This window comes from Homo sapiens, chromosome 14, assembly GCF_000001405.40.
Source record: "Homo sapiens chromosome 14, GRCh38.p14 Primary Assembly".
Taxonomy (NCBI): Eukaryota; Metazoa; Chordata; class Mammalia; order Primates; family Hominidae; genus Homo; species Homo sapiens.
Window position 1 is genome coordinate 97,780,728 of NC_000014.9, and position 17,091 is coordinate 97,797,818.

Sequence of the window (17,091 nt, forward strand, 5' to 3'; positions counted from 1 at the left end):
TCCAGGGGAATAAACGGCAGGAGGAATGTGGGGTAATCACAAGGCTTTGGTCAACAGAGACAGCAGTGCTGAGTGCTCCTAGGCGGTGCAGGTAGCAAACTAAGAGTATTTTGTACCCGAAGGAAGGAAAGCAAAATCAGACAAGAGTTTGACCAAGTAAGATTTGAAATCACTATTCTAAACATTAGCAACGATGCATGCTTATCGAGTGCTTGTCGTGATCTAGCTAGGGGTGAGGCAACTAAGGACTGCAAGCTAAATCTGGCCCACTGCCTGTTTATTTAAATAAAGTTTTATTGGAACACAGCCACACTTATTTGTTAACAAATGGCCTGTGGCTGCTTTTACACTATAATAACAGAGTTAAATCATTGTGACAGAGACTGTATGACTAACAACTATAGACACATTTACTATTTAAACATTTACTGAAAAAGAAGATAGACTTCTGTGCTTTTTTTTTCTTTTTGGTTTGTTCACATATAACTTTTTATTATTTTATTTTCTAATTTTAAAAGAAGTGCATGTTCATTCTGGGCAATTAGAGAAATGCAATTATTGTCTTTTCAAAATTAGAAAGAAAAAAAAATCAAATTACTTTTTTAAGCTGACCCCTAGTGCAATTTACTTAACATGTAGGGCCTCAGTTATTTCTTCTGTAAAATGAATATAAGTCACAATAGGGCTGTTGTGAAGATTGAATGAGCTGAGGACTCTAAGGCCCTGAGCTTCCTGGAATGTAATCAATACTCAGCGAATGCCAATCACTCTCAGTACATATGGGGCCCTATTAGTGGGTTGGGCTTTTTCCTATGAATTTATATGGCCTCCTTAGACAATAAAGACATTGCTCTTTTTAAAACAGTGATATTAATCAGTTATGATTGCTTTGTGTCTCAATAATAATTGGAGTCTACCATTCTGAGTCCAAACAGGAAAGCAGAAAACACTTTGAATCTTCATAATAGAAGAGACTTAACACAGAGACAGAGTTACATGGTGACAACAGAAACTGTTGGGATTCAATTGGGGGCCAGAGGGCAATGCAGGGACTCGCAAAGCCAGAAAGCTAGCAGCACCCCAGGCTGAGGAGGAATGGTGTGGGCCTACCAGAGTAAGGGCTGGGTTCACCTGGGGGCATCATCCCCTAAACTCCCTCGTGACAGCCCTCCCCATGCTGTACTGCAATGGCCCAATGGCAGGCTACTGACTCGACGACCTGGACTCCTTGGACCCCATCACATCTTGCTCATTTTCTATATAGTCAGCAGCACTGGGCACAGGGAAAGCAATCAAACAAACAAACAAACAAACATGAAGGATCAAACAAAGCAATCAAACAAACAAACATGAAGGAGGCACGATAGACAACCTGGACACCTCCAGACGAGGCTGGAAGAACATGAGTCAGAGGACAGACTGGCTGGAACTGGAATCCAGATTCTGAAGATAGCTCCCAGCATGGCCTTGGGTAAGTCTCTTCGCCTCCCTCACTCCTTGCTGGGAACAGGGCATGAAATGAAAACACTTCTCTGCGGAATCATCGTCAAGCTAAAATAGAGTGGAAAATAAACAGTTTCCCTGCTTTTTATGTTAAGAATCAAATGGAACAGAAGGCAGAATTTTTTTGGCTTATTTATATTTTTATTAATTTGTCCTTTGGGGGAGACACATATTTTTCAATACAAAAGTAGTAGAGTGAACCAAGTGGCAGCCCTGCATGGAGAGGTGGCTGGACATACAGAAAGTGATGTGACTAGATTGTAAAATACACCAAGATCCAAAGGGAGAAGAGGAAGAAGCTCATATCAACTGAGCTCCCCCTGCCCGGCTGGGCATTATGTGTCATTGATCCCCATAAAGACTCGGCCAGGAAAGTATCGTCATCTTTCTTTAAGCTGATAACTGAGATTCAGAGAGCTCAGGAAACTTAAGCCAAACGTAAAAACTAGGGGGGCCAGGATTCAAGTACTGGGAAAAGTTGCTCCACAGCCAGTGCTGTACATGCTTTCCTCTCTACTAAGCTGCTCGCAAAGGTGCAACAGAAGGACAAACTGAAAAAGAGAACTGTGGATACAGAGAGTAAATGGGGAAAATAGGGGAGAGAAGGAGGGGGAAGGAGAGAGATTGAGAGAGAGAGAAGACACACCCACGGATTCGACTTCTGTATATTCTCAATCCCTTTTGGCTTCAAAGGGTGTTTGATAAGTCAGACACTCTTCCAGAGCTGCAGATATGAACTAGTTGACACCTCACAAAGGAAAAACGCTTGCTTTTCTCATCCTAGTCTTGGTCAAAACCAGGAAGCAGAGAGCTGGGCAAACACAATCCGTTCTTTGAAGTTAATGTTTTCAGCGGTCTCCGGGGCTTTGGTTTGACTAGAGTGTTGGCGCTGGGGCTTGTGCTGTCCAACCCAATTTATCCTTGGTGCTGGATTTCAGCTGACACGTGGAGGAGGGAAATACAGGCCCATGTGCTTTGGAAAGCCTGTCCTTTAAGAAAGTACACTTGATGGCTTCAAGGGGCTCTTCAGGTTCTCCCACATTACTCTCAGGTCAGAGGATTTGAAAAGGAGCTCTACAATGTTATTTCATAAAACTTTTTTTCAATTTTAGAGGGTGGTCAGAAGGTGTAATTGCCTAGAAATGGCCTTATCCAGAATGAAAATTTTCTGTCACTCTTCCTGTCAAGAACATAGCTGATAACTAGAAAGAAAATCTAGGAAGAACTGCAAATAGACTGAAGATGCATTACAAAGAGGACTGAGGACCACGCTCCAAAGCTACCCACTTGCTTTTGCCCCACGTTTTCATAAACTGACGTATACTCATACGCACTTCTACTGGATTATACTCTCAGACTCTAAAAATACAGCCCAGAAATAAGCAAGAGGCCACCACAGACAGTGAACGAGTAAAACATGACAGATGAGAACTAGACAGAAAGCTCTCTGAAGCTCCTCACTAGAGAATAACAACAATGATAACAGCAACATAATCGACACAAGGAACTGGAGCCAGGTATTTTAGGGCAAACAGCCCTGCCCACTACGGTAGCCACAGTCGTCATCACTAATTTATAGTCCAGTGAAATGTGTCTTTCACAAAAGTGAATCCAAAACAGAAAGAAGGAAAAAAATAGAAAATAAAAGACAGGACCATTCTACGTTTGCACTTTTTAAAATAATCTTTTTCTTTGGAAATAGTTTTAGATTTACAAAAAAGAAACAAAAACCAAAACAAAAAAACATTGCGGAGAGTACAAAGAGTTCCCCTGTGCCCCACACTCATTTTTTCCTGTTGTTAACATCTGACTTTAGTTTGGTGCATTTGCCACAACTAATAAACCAATACTGATACACTGAGATTAACTCAAGTCCATACATTATTCTGATGCCCTTATTTTTTATGTAGTGTCCTTTTCCTCTTCCTGGATTCCACCCAGTATACTATGTTATATTTAGCCATCACATCCCTGTGGTCTGTTAGCTGTAGACTGTGAGTTTCTCAGACTTTCCTTGTTTCTGATGATGTTGCCAGGTATTTTGTAGAATTTCTCTCAGTTTTGTTCAACCGATGTTTTTCTTATGGTACGATTGGTGGTACAGATCTTGAAAAGGAAGATCACAGAGATAAACCACCATGCTCATCCCATCAGATCATGGGCACATACTGTCAACGTGACTTATCCCTGTTGATGTTGACCTCCGTCACCTCTCTGAGGAGGGTTTGTCAGGTTTCTCCACTGCCAAGTGACTCTTTATTCTCTTCCTTTGCACATTGAACTCTTTGTAAGGAAGTTGCTATGTACTGCCCACACTTAAGGGGTGGTGAGTTATGCTTCACCTCCTTGAGGGCAGAGTATCTAAATAAATTATTTGGAATTCTTCTGCATGAGAGATTTATTCATTATCTCCCATTTATGTCTTTATTCAGTCATTCATTATTATTAGGATAAAATCATGGCTATGTTATATTTCAGATTATAATTCAATACGATGTTATTTGTTGTATTGCTCAAATTGTTGTAGCTCTGAGCATTTGGAGCTCTTTCGTTTGTCTTCTGTTTTCTTCTGACATACCCCATTATTTTGTCTTTTGAACACTGCTTTGCTTTCTGGCACTGTCATATGCCAGGCTCATCTTGTATATTTCTTGCCTCAGGCCTAAAATCAGCCATTCTTCAAGGAACGTGGGCTCCTTTTATTGGGAATTGGAATTAGAAACCAAGACCTGGGCACTAGGTGTGCTCATGGCTGCTGTGGTGTCATTGCTTTTGAAGAACCTATTACAGCCATGCTCATTGTTTTATGTTTGATTTTACTTTGTTTCACAGACATGTTTTGTTTTGATTTTTTGTTTAAATCAAAGGTTTGTGATAACCCTGTGTTGAGCGTCTATCTCTGCCATTTTTCTAACTACATGATCTCACATCATGTTTCTGTGTCACATTTTGGTAATTCTCACAATATTTCAAAATTATTATTATATATGTTACGGTGATCTTTGATCATTGATCTTCGATGTTACTATTGTAATTGTTTTGGGGCTGTATGTGCCATGAGATGGCAAACTTAATTAAGTGTTATGTGGGTTCTGACTGCTCTACTGACCAGCCATTCCCCTGTCTCTTTCCCTCTCTTTGGGCCTCACTATTCCCCAAGACACAACAATATTAAAATTAGGCCAATTAACAACCCTACAATGGCATCAAAGTTCAAGTGAAAGGAAGAGTCACATATCTCCCACTTTAAATCAAAAGCTAGAAATGATTTCGCTTAGTGAGGAAGGCACACCAAAAGTCAAGACAGGCTGAAAGCTGGGCCTCTTGCACCAAATAGACATATTGTGAATACAAAGGGAAAGTTATTGGAGGAAATTCAAGTGCTCCAGTAAACACACAAATGATAAGAAAGTGAAACAGCCTTATTGCTGATGTGGAGAAAGCTTTAGTGGTCATGGTAGAAGTTCAAAGCAGCCACAAGAGTCCCTTAAACCTAATCCAGAGCAAGGCACTAACTCTCTTTAATTTTATGAAAGCTGAGAGAGGTGAGGAAGTTGTAGTAGAAAAGTTGGAAGCTTGCAGAGGTGGGTTCATGAGGTTTAAGGGAAGAAGCCTTCTCCATAACATGGAGGTGCAAGGTGAAGCAGTAAGTGCTGATGCAGAAGCTACAGGAAGTTCTGAAAAAGATCCAGCTAAGATCATTGATGAAGGTGGCTATGCTGAAGAACATATTTTCAGTGAGGATAAAATAGTCTTACATTGAAATAAGATGCCATCTATGACTCTCATTGCTAGGGAGAAGTCAATGCCTAGTTTTAAAGCTTCAGCGGACAGGCTAACTCTTGTTGTGATCTAACGAAGTTGGTGACTTTAAACTAAAGCCTAACGCTCATTTGCCATTCTGAAAATCCTACGGACCTTAAGAATTAGGCTAAATCTACTCTACCTATGCATCATAAATGGAACAACAAAGCCCAGAAAGTAAATCTGTTGACAGCATGGTTCACTGAATGGTTTAAGCCCACTGTTGAAACCTATTATTAATATTAAAAAAAATTCCTTTCAAAATGTTACTGCTCATTGATAATGCACCTAGTTACCCAAGAACACTGATATAGACGTATACAGAGATTAATGCTGCTTTCATGCCTACTAATACAATATTCATTCTACAGCCCATGGATCAAGAAGTAATTTAGACTTTCAAGTCTTATTACTTTTAAAAAAACGCATTTTTAAGGCTATAGCTGCCGTAGATAGTGATTCTTCTGATGCATCTGAGCAAAGTCAATTGGAAACCTTCTGGGAAGAATACACCATTCTAGATGTCATTAAGAACATTCACATCTCCTAGAAGGTCAAAAAGCAATATTAACAGGAGCTTGAAAGAAGCTGATATCAAACTTCATGGGTGGTTTTGAAGGGTTCCAGACTTTAGTGGAGAAAGTAACTGCAGATGTGGTGAAAATAGCAAGAGAACTGGAATTAGAAGTGGAACCTGAAGATGTGACTTGATTGTTGCAATCTCACGGTAGGACTTGAATGGATGAAGAATTGCTTCTTACGGATATGCAAAGAAAGTGGTTTCTTGAGATGGAATTGACTCCCGGTGAGGATGCTGTGAACATTGTTGGATGACAACAAATAATTGATAATATCATATTAACCTAGTTTATAAAGCAGCAGCAGGGTTTGAGAAGATTAACTTTGATTTTGAAAGAAGTTCTACTGTGGGTGAAATGCTGTCAAACAGCATCTCATGTTACAGTAAAATCTTTTATAAAAGGAAGACTTGATCAATGTGGCAAATTACATTTTTGTGTTATTTTAAGTAGTTGCCACAGCCACCCCATCCTTCAGCAACCAACACCTTAATTAGTCAGCACCCATCAACATGAAGGCCAGACTCTCCACCAGCAAAAAGATTGTGATTTTCTGAAGGCTCAGATGATCCTTGGCACTTGTTTAGCAACAAAGTAATTTTTAATTAAGGTATGTATACTTGTTAGACATAATGCTAGTACACATTTAATAGACTACAGCATAGAGTAAACATAACTTTTACAGGCACTGGGAGGCCAAAAACCTTGGGTGACTGGCTTTAACATGATATTCATGTTATTGCAGTGATCTGGAACTGAATACACAATGTCTTCAAGTATGCCTGTATTTTAAGAGAGATATACTTTTAAGAAGGCTGAAAATAGTATTCCATGGTGTATATGTGCCACAGTTTCTTAATCCAGTCTATCATTATTGGACATTTGGGTTGGTTCCAAGTCTTTGCTATTGTGAGTAGTACCACAATAAACATACGTGTGTCTTTATAGCAGCATGATTTATATTCCTTTGGGTATATACCCAATAATGGGATGGCTGGGTCAAATGGTATTTCTAGTTCTAGATCCCTGAAGAATTGCCACACTGTTTTCCACAATGGCACATGTATACATATGTAACAAACCTTCACGTTGTGCACATGTACCCTAGAACTTAAAGTGTAATAAAATATATATATATATTTTATTTATATATATTTTATAAAATATATATATATATTTTATTTATATATATTTTATAAAATATATATTTTATTTATATATATTTTATAAAATATATATTTTATGTATATATTTTATAAAATATATATTTTATGTATATATTTTATAAAATATATATTTTATGTATATATTTTATAAAATATATATTTTATGTATATATTTTATAAAATATATATTTTATGTATATATTTTATAAAATATATATTTTATTTATGTATATTTTTTATAAATATATATATTTTATTTATGTATATTTTTTATAAATATATATATTTTATTTATATATATTTTATAAATATATATATTTTATTTATATATATTTTATAAATATATATATTTTATTTATATATTTTATAAATACATATATTTTATTTATATATTTTATAAATACATATATTTTATTTATATATATTTTATAAATATATATATTTATTTATATATTTATAAATATATATATTTTATTTATATATTTATAAATATATATATTTTATTTATATATTTATAAATATATATATTTTATTTATATATTTATAAATATATATATTTTATTTATATATATTTATAAATATATATATATTATTTATATATTTTATAAATATATATTTTATTTATATATATTTTATAAATATATACATTTATTTATATATATTTTATTATATATATATATATATGAAGGCTAAAAATAAGAAACTTTGGTGCTCAAAGAGTTAAATACTTAGCTGCTTGGAAAGTAAGGCTGTCTAGAGTGACTTATTTTTCAGTAGAGTAGGAACAGGAACACCAAAATAGAGAAAAACTATGCATAGGCTCTGAATGCTGGCAGATAAAGGCTTAGGCTTAAATATTCACTTGCTCTGCAATATTTAGCAACTTACATATCTCTCTGATTTCTTACTCATAAGACATAAGAATGTCTAATTGATGCTACCATTTTTGATTAGACATTCTCATGTATAAAGTTCCCAGAAAAATGTGCCTCCTTGATTGGTACTCAAACAATCACAGTAACCCCTCACGTCTTAGCGTTTAGAACCATCTTACATATAAATAATTGCCAGTTAACACATAACTTCTCAATAAGAGCATGGTTATATGTATTCTACATATATTAAGCCATGTAATCTTCATAATGACACCAAGAAGTTGATATGATTACTATCCCTGCTTTACAAATGAGGAAACTGAGGCAGAGAGCGGTTAAGATACTTACCTCTTCACATAGTAATGAGGCAGGGAGTAGGGTGTCCTCTGGCTTCAGGGTTCGTGCTCCTAATTCTTACACTAGAACGTGATCTTGGGTAAACTAGATACCTTTGCTGTATAATGGAGTTTACAAAACTAGATTCACAGGCTACTTGTGTAGCCCAAATGTATCCATTCCTTCTCTCAATAAATGTTTAATGAGTACCTTCCATGTGCCAGGGGGCATGTAGATCACCTAGCCCTTGGTAGCATAGACAAAGATGAGACCTCGGAGCAGACACTGCCCCGTACAGTATGGTTTGACAAGCTAGATTTTACTCCCTTCTTGCTTCCTTGTCTGGACACCTTTGTGTGGTTATACAACCTGCCACACTGTACCTAGTCAGCCTGCCTGAGACTGTGCTAAAAATGGTACCCCAGAAATAAACATGATAAATGCATTTCCTGGTTTCATGGGGGTTATGTAAAACTTACGTAAAAATTTTTTGCAAATTCTAAAGCATGGTGTAAATGATGTAAACGTAAGGTATAATCAAGATTATTATTATTGTCATTTTTATAACGGATCAATCTCATTGTTTGTCATGAGGGCATTAACAGAGCCACATGATCAACAGGCAGTGCTGGTTAATGTCCAACAACCACCTCTCCGGGGAAAGCAAGTCATGATATGTATATTTTGCCAATTTATGTGGTGTAAATACTCCCACCAGGGTACCCAAAGTTGGAAAGAGAGTAAAATCAGCTCTCATGAGTTGGAAGGAGCAATTCCTGCCTGTCCCATAGGATGGAGGTGGACAAGGGAACCATTACCACCTGCTTTGGGTTAGGGGAGCAGGCAGAAAGAAACAGGTAAATTGGGACTCAGAAGAAGGAGGTAGCAGAGAGATGCCACAGTTTGCATTTGAGCTCCAATCTGCTGGACTAAAGAGTCACAACTTTTACCACCTACCAGGGCTCTGAAAAACTTCCTTGTAGAGACAGCTCTCCATCAGAGGGCTTTGGACATTTTGGCAGTGTATGCTACCACTGGCTTAAGAATCAGTGATTCAATTCGGCGTATGCTTCCTGTGCATTGTTTATGCACAAGAAAATTCAGGATGTCATAGCCCGTAAGAGGCTCTGTGTCCAGTAAGAGAGGCAGACATGTCCATGACCTGCAAGGCCATCTGTGCTGCTGCCAGAAGCACAGGGCAAGCAGGGCACTGGGAGAGAGAAATGGGACCATTAGCAGGGGCATCAGCAAAGACTTACTGCAGGAGGCCATTGGAAAATAGCTTCGAGGAGGAAAAGAGACAAAACATTCTCTCTGGAGGCTGGGGAAACTGTCCCTGTTTTTGCTGTTTTGATAGAATGAAGAGCTGATACAAATTCTCTACAGCGCCTGTAGCAAAATATCTCAGGTCTTCAGTGGCACCTGTGGACCCTGGATCAGGCTCACTAAATGCTGTCAGCCTCTGACTCTGTGCCCCTCCCGTCCAAACACCCTGGATTCTCCTAATCTTGACATGCTTTTGCACATACCCTTCCTATTCCTAGAGCAAACATTCCCCACTTCATCTTGCAACACTTTGTCCACTCTTCACAAGAGTTAAGTCAGGTCAAATCTTTTTTTTTTTTTTTTTTTTTTTTTGAGACCAAGTCTCACTCTGTTGCCCAGGCTGGAGTGCTGTGGCATGGTCTCGGCTCACTGCAACCTCTGTCTCTCGGGTTCAAGCAATTCTCCTGCCTCAGCCTCCTGAATAGCTGGGATTACTGGCGCCTGCCACCACGCCTGGCTAATTTTTTGTATTTTTAGTAGAGACAGGGTTTTGCCATGTTGGCCAGGCTAGTCTCGAACTCCTGACCTCAGGGCATCCGTCTGCCTTGGCCTCCCAAAGGGCTGGGATTACAGGCATGAGCCACTGTGCCCGGCCAGGTCAAATCTTTTGACACAAACCCTAAGCTCCTCAATTTGGACTGTGTATCCATTCTGTTTTCTTGTAATACACCATGGGTTCCTCTGCCCTTGCATTTAATTTGTTCATTCATTTAACAAATTTTTATGAAGCACTCGATACAGTAGTGGTAACAACTGAGATTTCTTGAGCATTTACTATGATCCAAGCACTGACTTCTTCTAATCTTTGCAATAATCCTACGAGGTGTATTATATTATTGTCTCCTTTTTTCAGATGAAGAAATGAAGACATAAAAAAATCTAGCAGTCTGTTTGGTGAGCTGCGACTGGGGTTTGAATTTAGGTAATCTGGACACAGGGTGGAAGTCTTGCCACCCCGCCTTGTGTTGTCTCACCTCTGAGGAGGGTAATAGATGTGGTCACAGCCCAACCTTCTATTAATACATCAGTCTAGTGGGAGAGGAGAATGCGAAGCACAAAACAAAATAAACGTCACTATGAATTGCGTGATGAAAAGCAGGGAAATTAAACCTCTCTGTCTTGCTTTTTTTCATCTGTAAAAGGGGAATAACAAGAGTATATTCTTCATCATCTGATGTAAGGATCAAATAACACCGTCTGTATGATACACCTGGAATAATAGTACCTGCACCTAGCAAGGTCCCAATCAACATATGCCAGAGATGGTTGTTCCATTTTATCTCTGCTACCCTCTCGGAGAGCAGGACATCAGGAAATGTTTGCAGAATAATTGATGGATCGTAAGCTAGAGCTGTAGGGTGCTCCATCTCAGGTGACTTTGGTATATTATATTTAATAATGTTTTGGCAAGGTGCAGTGGCTCACTCCTGTAATCCCAGCACTCTGGAAGGCCGAGGCGGGTGGATCTTCTGCGGTCGGGAGTTCAAGACCAGGCTGACCAACATAGAGAAACCCTGTCTCTACTAAAAATACAGAATTAGCTGGGTGTGGTGGCACATGCCTGTAATCCCAGCTACTCGGGAGGCTGAGGCAGGAGAATCGCTTGAACCCGTGAGGCGGAGGTTGCAGTGAGCCGAGATCACGCCATTGCACTCCAGCCTGGGTAACAAGAGCAAAACTGTCTCAAAAAAAAAAAAAAAAGAATATTTTAAAAATATTCTTGTGCCCCATTAGACAAAAATTTCCTGGAAAACAGGAAAAGCAGGCTCCCAGGCCTTCTTGCTCTTTCTCAGCCCCGGGGCTAACCAATGCTGCAAGTTGGCAAGAGCCCGTTGCTGTTCCATGAGCTGCCACACAGTCACTTGAGGCTGGAAATGTGCAAATGCAATACTGTCCATGATCCAATGGAGCGGCAGAAATCTCCATCAAAAGCAGCTGTTTGGGTACCAGCTGCTTGGTAACAAATACATCTTTAATGAAATCAAACAATCCAGCAGGATTTATTGATTGAGAACAATTGCTTTTAAATATAGTCTAGTAGCCGGGACTGTTAACATTCTTTTTCCTTCAATTAGTTCAGTTGGTTTGAATCAGAGACACTTGGCTATTAGCTAATGAAAATAAATGCTATTGCCATTCAGCATTAACCCCCTGCTCCCTTCTCTGCACCAATGCATGCCACAGACTACTCAGAAGAAAAAAACATTTTTTTTTGAGGTAATTCTGTCGTTTTGGGGAAAGGAGTCTTACAACAAACCAAGTCTGACAAACTCTGAGATAGAGACCCATCTCAATCCAGAATACTGAATAAGGGTGGGGAATCATCCAATTTTCTCTCTCAAAATCTAACAATCTAGGCAGGCAGCCCTGATACTGGATAGTGTTTCCCAAACCAGCTTTCATAGCAGAGTCATAGGTTTCTAGAGAAAGCTATTCTGTTTATTATATACTTGTCCTCAACTCTGGCCAGTTAGCACAGTTGGTTAGGGCATGGTGGTAGCCCAATATTATATATTTGTCTTGATGAAAATAACCATTCTCCATCCTGACAGTCAAATGAGAAATCTGGGAATTACCCATGAAACCTCTTCTCTCCTACTTCTCATTTTCAACAGGTCCCCAAACTTTATGCATTCTGCAAAGGTTTCCAATCTGCCACATTCCCCCTTTTTTAGGGATGGGCCTCATCACAATTTCTCACCTAGATTAATACATTCATGACCCTAACTCTTCTCCCTGTGCTAGTTCTCTCCTTTCTACCAGTTCTGAAAACCACAGTCAGAGGGAATGTATTCATTGCTCAGGCTGCCATAGCAGAACACCACAGATCAGGAGGCTGGAACAACAGACATTTATTTTCTCATAGTTTTCCGGGAACCAGAGGTCCAAGATCAAGGCTTCAGCAGCTTTAATTTCTTCTGAGGCCTCTTTATGACTGGCAGTTGTCCCGTGTTCTGTATGTTGTCTGTGTCCTAACCTCCACTCCTTATAGGGACACCAGTCCTATCGGATGAGGGGGTAACTTAATGACCTCATTTTACCTTAATCACTTACTTAAAGGCCCTATCTCCAAACAGTCATATTCTGGGGTCCTGAGGGTTAGGTCTTCAACATACGATTATGGGGGACATAATTTAGCCATAAAGGGGAGATTCCCAAAATGCAAATATAAACAGGCCTCTCATTTGCATAAGCACCTTCTGTAAATGGATCCCTGCAGCTTCCAGGACAAAGGTGAAGCTCCTTAGTTCCACCCCTGAGGACTCCCAAATCTGAGGCCCTCGTCACCATTGTGCTCATCTCTTCTCCATACACAAGCATTGGATTTCTATGACTTCCATTCCCTAGATGCCACTCTAGGCACTTACTCATTCGCTCCTTATAACAAATGACACACAGGACAATGCCAATGTCCTCTACTTCATTGGAAGCTCCTCTACGCAAGCCCCAAGTATTAATTATCTCTCAGGCCCAAATATCTTATGCGAGCTCTACCATCAAATAGATGGTCAATTAGAGATTATTAAATGGAATACTTTTAATCCAGTTTTTGCACTTTTATGTAGCAATATTTACTTGGAAGCCAGCCTGGAAAGTAAGGGACATTTACGATGGACCTAGGTATCTTCCTGCAGGTTTGGGGGTTTATTTTAATCAGTGCGTCAATATTCCCCATCAGAATATATGCCACTTCTCTCCACTACACTTCTCTGGAGATGACATTACGGGGGCATCTGCTATACTTTCACCATTAACACACCTGCCTGAAGTTGCTGTGAAAGACTGACCAACTGATGGTAGAATTTTTATCTGGTAACCTGTAAAAGGTGGAAATTCAACACTTCTTCCCCATTCTTGATGTTTTCTTCCAGGCAGCTAGCCTTTTTATTTATACTGCTTCTCGGGTGAAGAGTCACTGACTGGTAATCTCTGGAAAAACAAACAAGGTAAGTTTGGTCCAGCCACTGGTTTTTCCTTTTTTAAGCAGGTGTTCAGGGACAACTTGCTGCTTCCATCCCTCCCTTCCTTGCTCCCACCATGCTGGCATTGTAGGGAGGTAGACCAGGCTCCCGTGGCTGGGTGATGTGTCTGCCTAATGCTGGTGCTCACTTAGCAGCCCATTCTCTCTCCTATCAACTCCATTTTCCTCTAACTTTGCTGTTACCAGGAATGAAGGCAAATTTCAGCCTCTATCCATTTCTCTTTTTACTCATTTTCTCCATCTGTTCAGATCTCAGGCAGACAAGAAGGATGATATTAAAGACTCTATGATTGGGTGCAATTGTCTGGATTGCTGAAATATTTCATGACACAATATAGATCTGGAGTGACTGTAGCTTCAGTGGGGCCAGGTGGGTGGGCCTTACATTTTATATGTGGAGTGTTTTGACCTTGGCCGTCAGCAATACCTCAGAAGGGCCAGGTGGGCCTTAACAGCTGTGCCATTGGCTTTTAACTGCTAGGGCCCCAGTAGGGGCTGCAGGTCTCAGGGTAAGTGGTAATTTGACTTTGGTGGATGACCACAGCCGTGAGGACCTTGTCCATGGTGCAGCGACTATCTTTACATTCAAGTTGCACATCTTTCACTGCAAAATGGCCCAGGGGCCACATGAATGGCTTTTAGCAAAAAGAAACCAGGCACATGAGAACCTCTGAAAGGGCTTGTGGCCATTGTAGGTGACCTTAGCAGATACAGTCCACATGGGACCTGCAAGCAAATGCCAGCCATGCTGGCTGCAGCAAAGGCGTGGGCACTGAGTGGTCACAGGCAGCAGTAGGTGCACCTTGACCTTGAACAATACATGTGCAGGAGACAAAGGCCTCAGCGAGGGTAGAGGCCCTCCACAGGCGTAGCAGCTCCAGGGGCAGGCATGGCTCTTCCTAAACAAGCATGATAGAAGCAAAGATTGGACTAGTAGAGATAAGGCCTTTCTGCACACATGAGGGGAAGGCTCATGTACTGCTATTTGTCTGCAGAGTGGTTGGCTACTGTGTGCCCTCCGGGAAGAGAAATGTTCAAGCTCAGGTGCAGGTCAAGGCCAGGTGTGCTCATCCAGAGCTCTACAACTAGCTGGTTTCTCTGAAATGATTAAAGGGAGGATAGAGGTTTAACTCACTACTGGGGAGAAAGAAATGGCAGAGATGCTACTCATGTCTGGGACATGCCAAGGCTGAGAAATCACGGCTCAGGCAGAGACTTAGGCATCAGTGGGCCCAAAGGTTCATAGGGTGGGTATAGAAACAGAAGGGTAGTGATGTCCTGTGCATCATTCTCCAGTGAGAGCCAACATGTGGACTGGTGACATGTGTCTCCCTGCTAAGTCATTTTATAGCAGGAGAGTGCAATCCACCACTGGGCCCCAGGACAGAAAATTCCTGTTTGCATGGGAGAATCCCACTAGACAGAGCCCACCTCAGTTGAATATAGTGGGAGGAGGAACACTGGCCAAGAGGGAAAGTGAGAATTCTGAGGTTTAGAATTCTCCAATGGAAAGGAAAGGCAGCCGACCCTTTCTGAGAATGCAGACAAGATGTCAAAATAGGTCTTCCTCTCCATGGTGGTAAGTGCACCTTGTGCAAATTAAATTGTCAAAGAAAGATTTTCCCCATTTGAATTTAAGGTGCCACCTTTTGGGATCCAGATGACTGACATGAATGAACTGCAACCCAATGGGGCAAAACCGGGAAGCTTTTCTCCACTGCCCTCTCCACAGAGTTGCTGTAGAGTCTTGGATATTAAGAGCTGGGCTTGGGAAACTTCATTTTTCTGGGATAACTAAGAGAAAGTGCCTTAGAGTTGGGGGTTGGAATGTTTTTGGCATTTTGTGGTGAGGAAAACAGTGTTAGCCTTCTCAGTCCTATGTGTCCTACTAACTCTTTCAACTCTTTAAGTAGAGAGAGGCTCCTAAGTGAATTGGCGTGGCACCAAGCCTTCCTCTCAGTCCTAAAGTAACCACACTCATTTCAGCAGAAAATGACCTAGGCTGTTGCTGCTCAAGGAATCCCAAGCCAAGGCTGAGGGGCAAATTAAATCAGGGAAGAGAATTCTGGCGCTTTCACCTAAGAATTGTGAGATTTGAACTTTGAACTTGAAAGGACCAACAATCCCACGATATCAGTCCTTAATTTCTTTGGGATCCAACTTGCAAGGGGATGTAATCTTCAAATTGTACCTTCTCAGTGGGACCTTGATAATAGGAGAGGTTTATATTCAAATTTGGGGAGGCTCAAATGTTGCCGTTTGCTCAGTGGAGTGACCTTGTGTGCTTGTTACCTTCCTGTCTTCCTGGGTCATTCATCTCCCTGTAGGGTCTGTGCTGGTTTGGCAACGCAGCTGGAGATCTTTCAGAGCAGGAAGAGAGAAATGAGTCAAGTTCAGCCTCGACAGATGAAGCCTCCTTGCTGTTAACCCACCTCAGAGCCTTCTAGTGGCAAAATCTAAACTGCACCCCAGTAGCCCCAGGGGCCCAGACAGGAGAATGGGGTTGGTATCAGGCAAGGAGCCTATGAATGTGGGACGGATCAACCAGATAGATTGCTGATCTGTTCACCTTCTTTCTGGGCACAGTGGCGTCACACACAGAATTTTCAAGCCCACTGTGTTAGGAGCATGCTAATCTGGTTTAAGTCAGGACAATGCTACTTCTCCTTTCTTACTTTTCCTTCTAGGTGAATAAAGCATCTTAGCATCCCTCTCCTGGCTTCCTTCTGCTGCTTTCCTGAATATGCATGGCAGTATGCATAGAACAAAACATTCTCCCTGCTCCAAGAAGCAGGGTCTCCCTAGCCTGCCCTCATGGACAGGTGAGCCTCAGTCCAGCAGAGCCTATGGTTGGAGGCAAAATGGGCCTCTTCCTGGAGTTCCGTTAGCAGGTCTATCTGCCTCTCACTCTGAGCTCTGCCCTCTCCCTGAACCTGGTAACAATAAGAGATATGTTGGCTTTGAACGATTTGATTTCTTGTCTCCTTTTTCCACTTGTTCTAAATCAAAGTAGGGCAAAATATTCCTGTTTGTAGAGCAGAAACCTCAGAGACCTCAGCCCCAATATCTCTTCCTACCACAGTTTTCACAGACTATTAGGATCCCGGTGCAACAGAAGTGTTGAGAGAGCCCTTCTGCAAGGAACGAGAACCCAGCCAGGGCTCCACACTCCCGGAGAAGTTCTCTGTTCAGAACCACCCACTCTGTCATCTGGGTCCTATCAGTTCATGCGGATAGCTGCTGCCATCACAAGGTGCCAGGCGCCATGTTGGGCATGTGGGTTACCTCATTGAATCTTCAAATAGATGCTGGTTTTGTCCCTCAGGAGATGGAGGCTCCGAGAGGATAGGAGACTTGTTCAAGATTACTTGGCTCCTAAAGGATGACATTGGGCTTCAATTTAAGTAGGATTTCAAAGCTTGTGGCCTTGTTTCATCAGAGGCGAGCATCTCTACTTCCTCGGGACCAGGATGGGTTGACCTGGGCTTCATGTCTGAGTCTACCACTCAGTAGCTGATTAA

The 17,091-nt window shown here is 40.9% G+C and overlaps 1 long non-coding RNA gene across 1 annotated transcript in view; it reads left to right on the forward strand.

The window, feature by feature from the left end:
- LOC105370651 (uncharacterized) overlaps positions 1 to 16,843 on the forward strand; it is a 91,436-nt gene extending 74,593 nt beyond the window's left edge. Inside the window, exons 4-5 of the long non-coding RNA XR_944186.4 lie at positions 13,461 to 13,535; positions 16,653 to 16,843. This is a non-coding gene — a long non-coding RNA (uncharacterized LOC105370651). The remainder of the gene's footprint in view (positions 1 to 13,460; positions 13,536 to 16,652) is intronic.
- Positions 16,844 to 17,091: the final 248 nt, after the last annotated feature.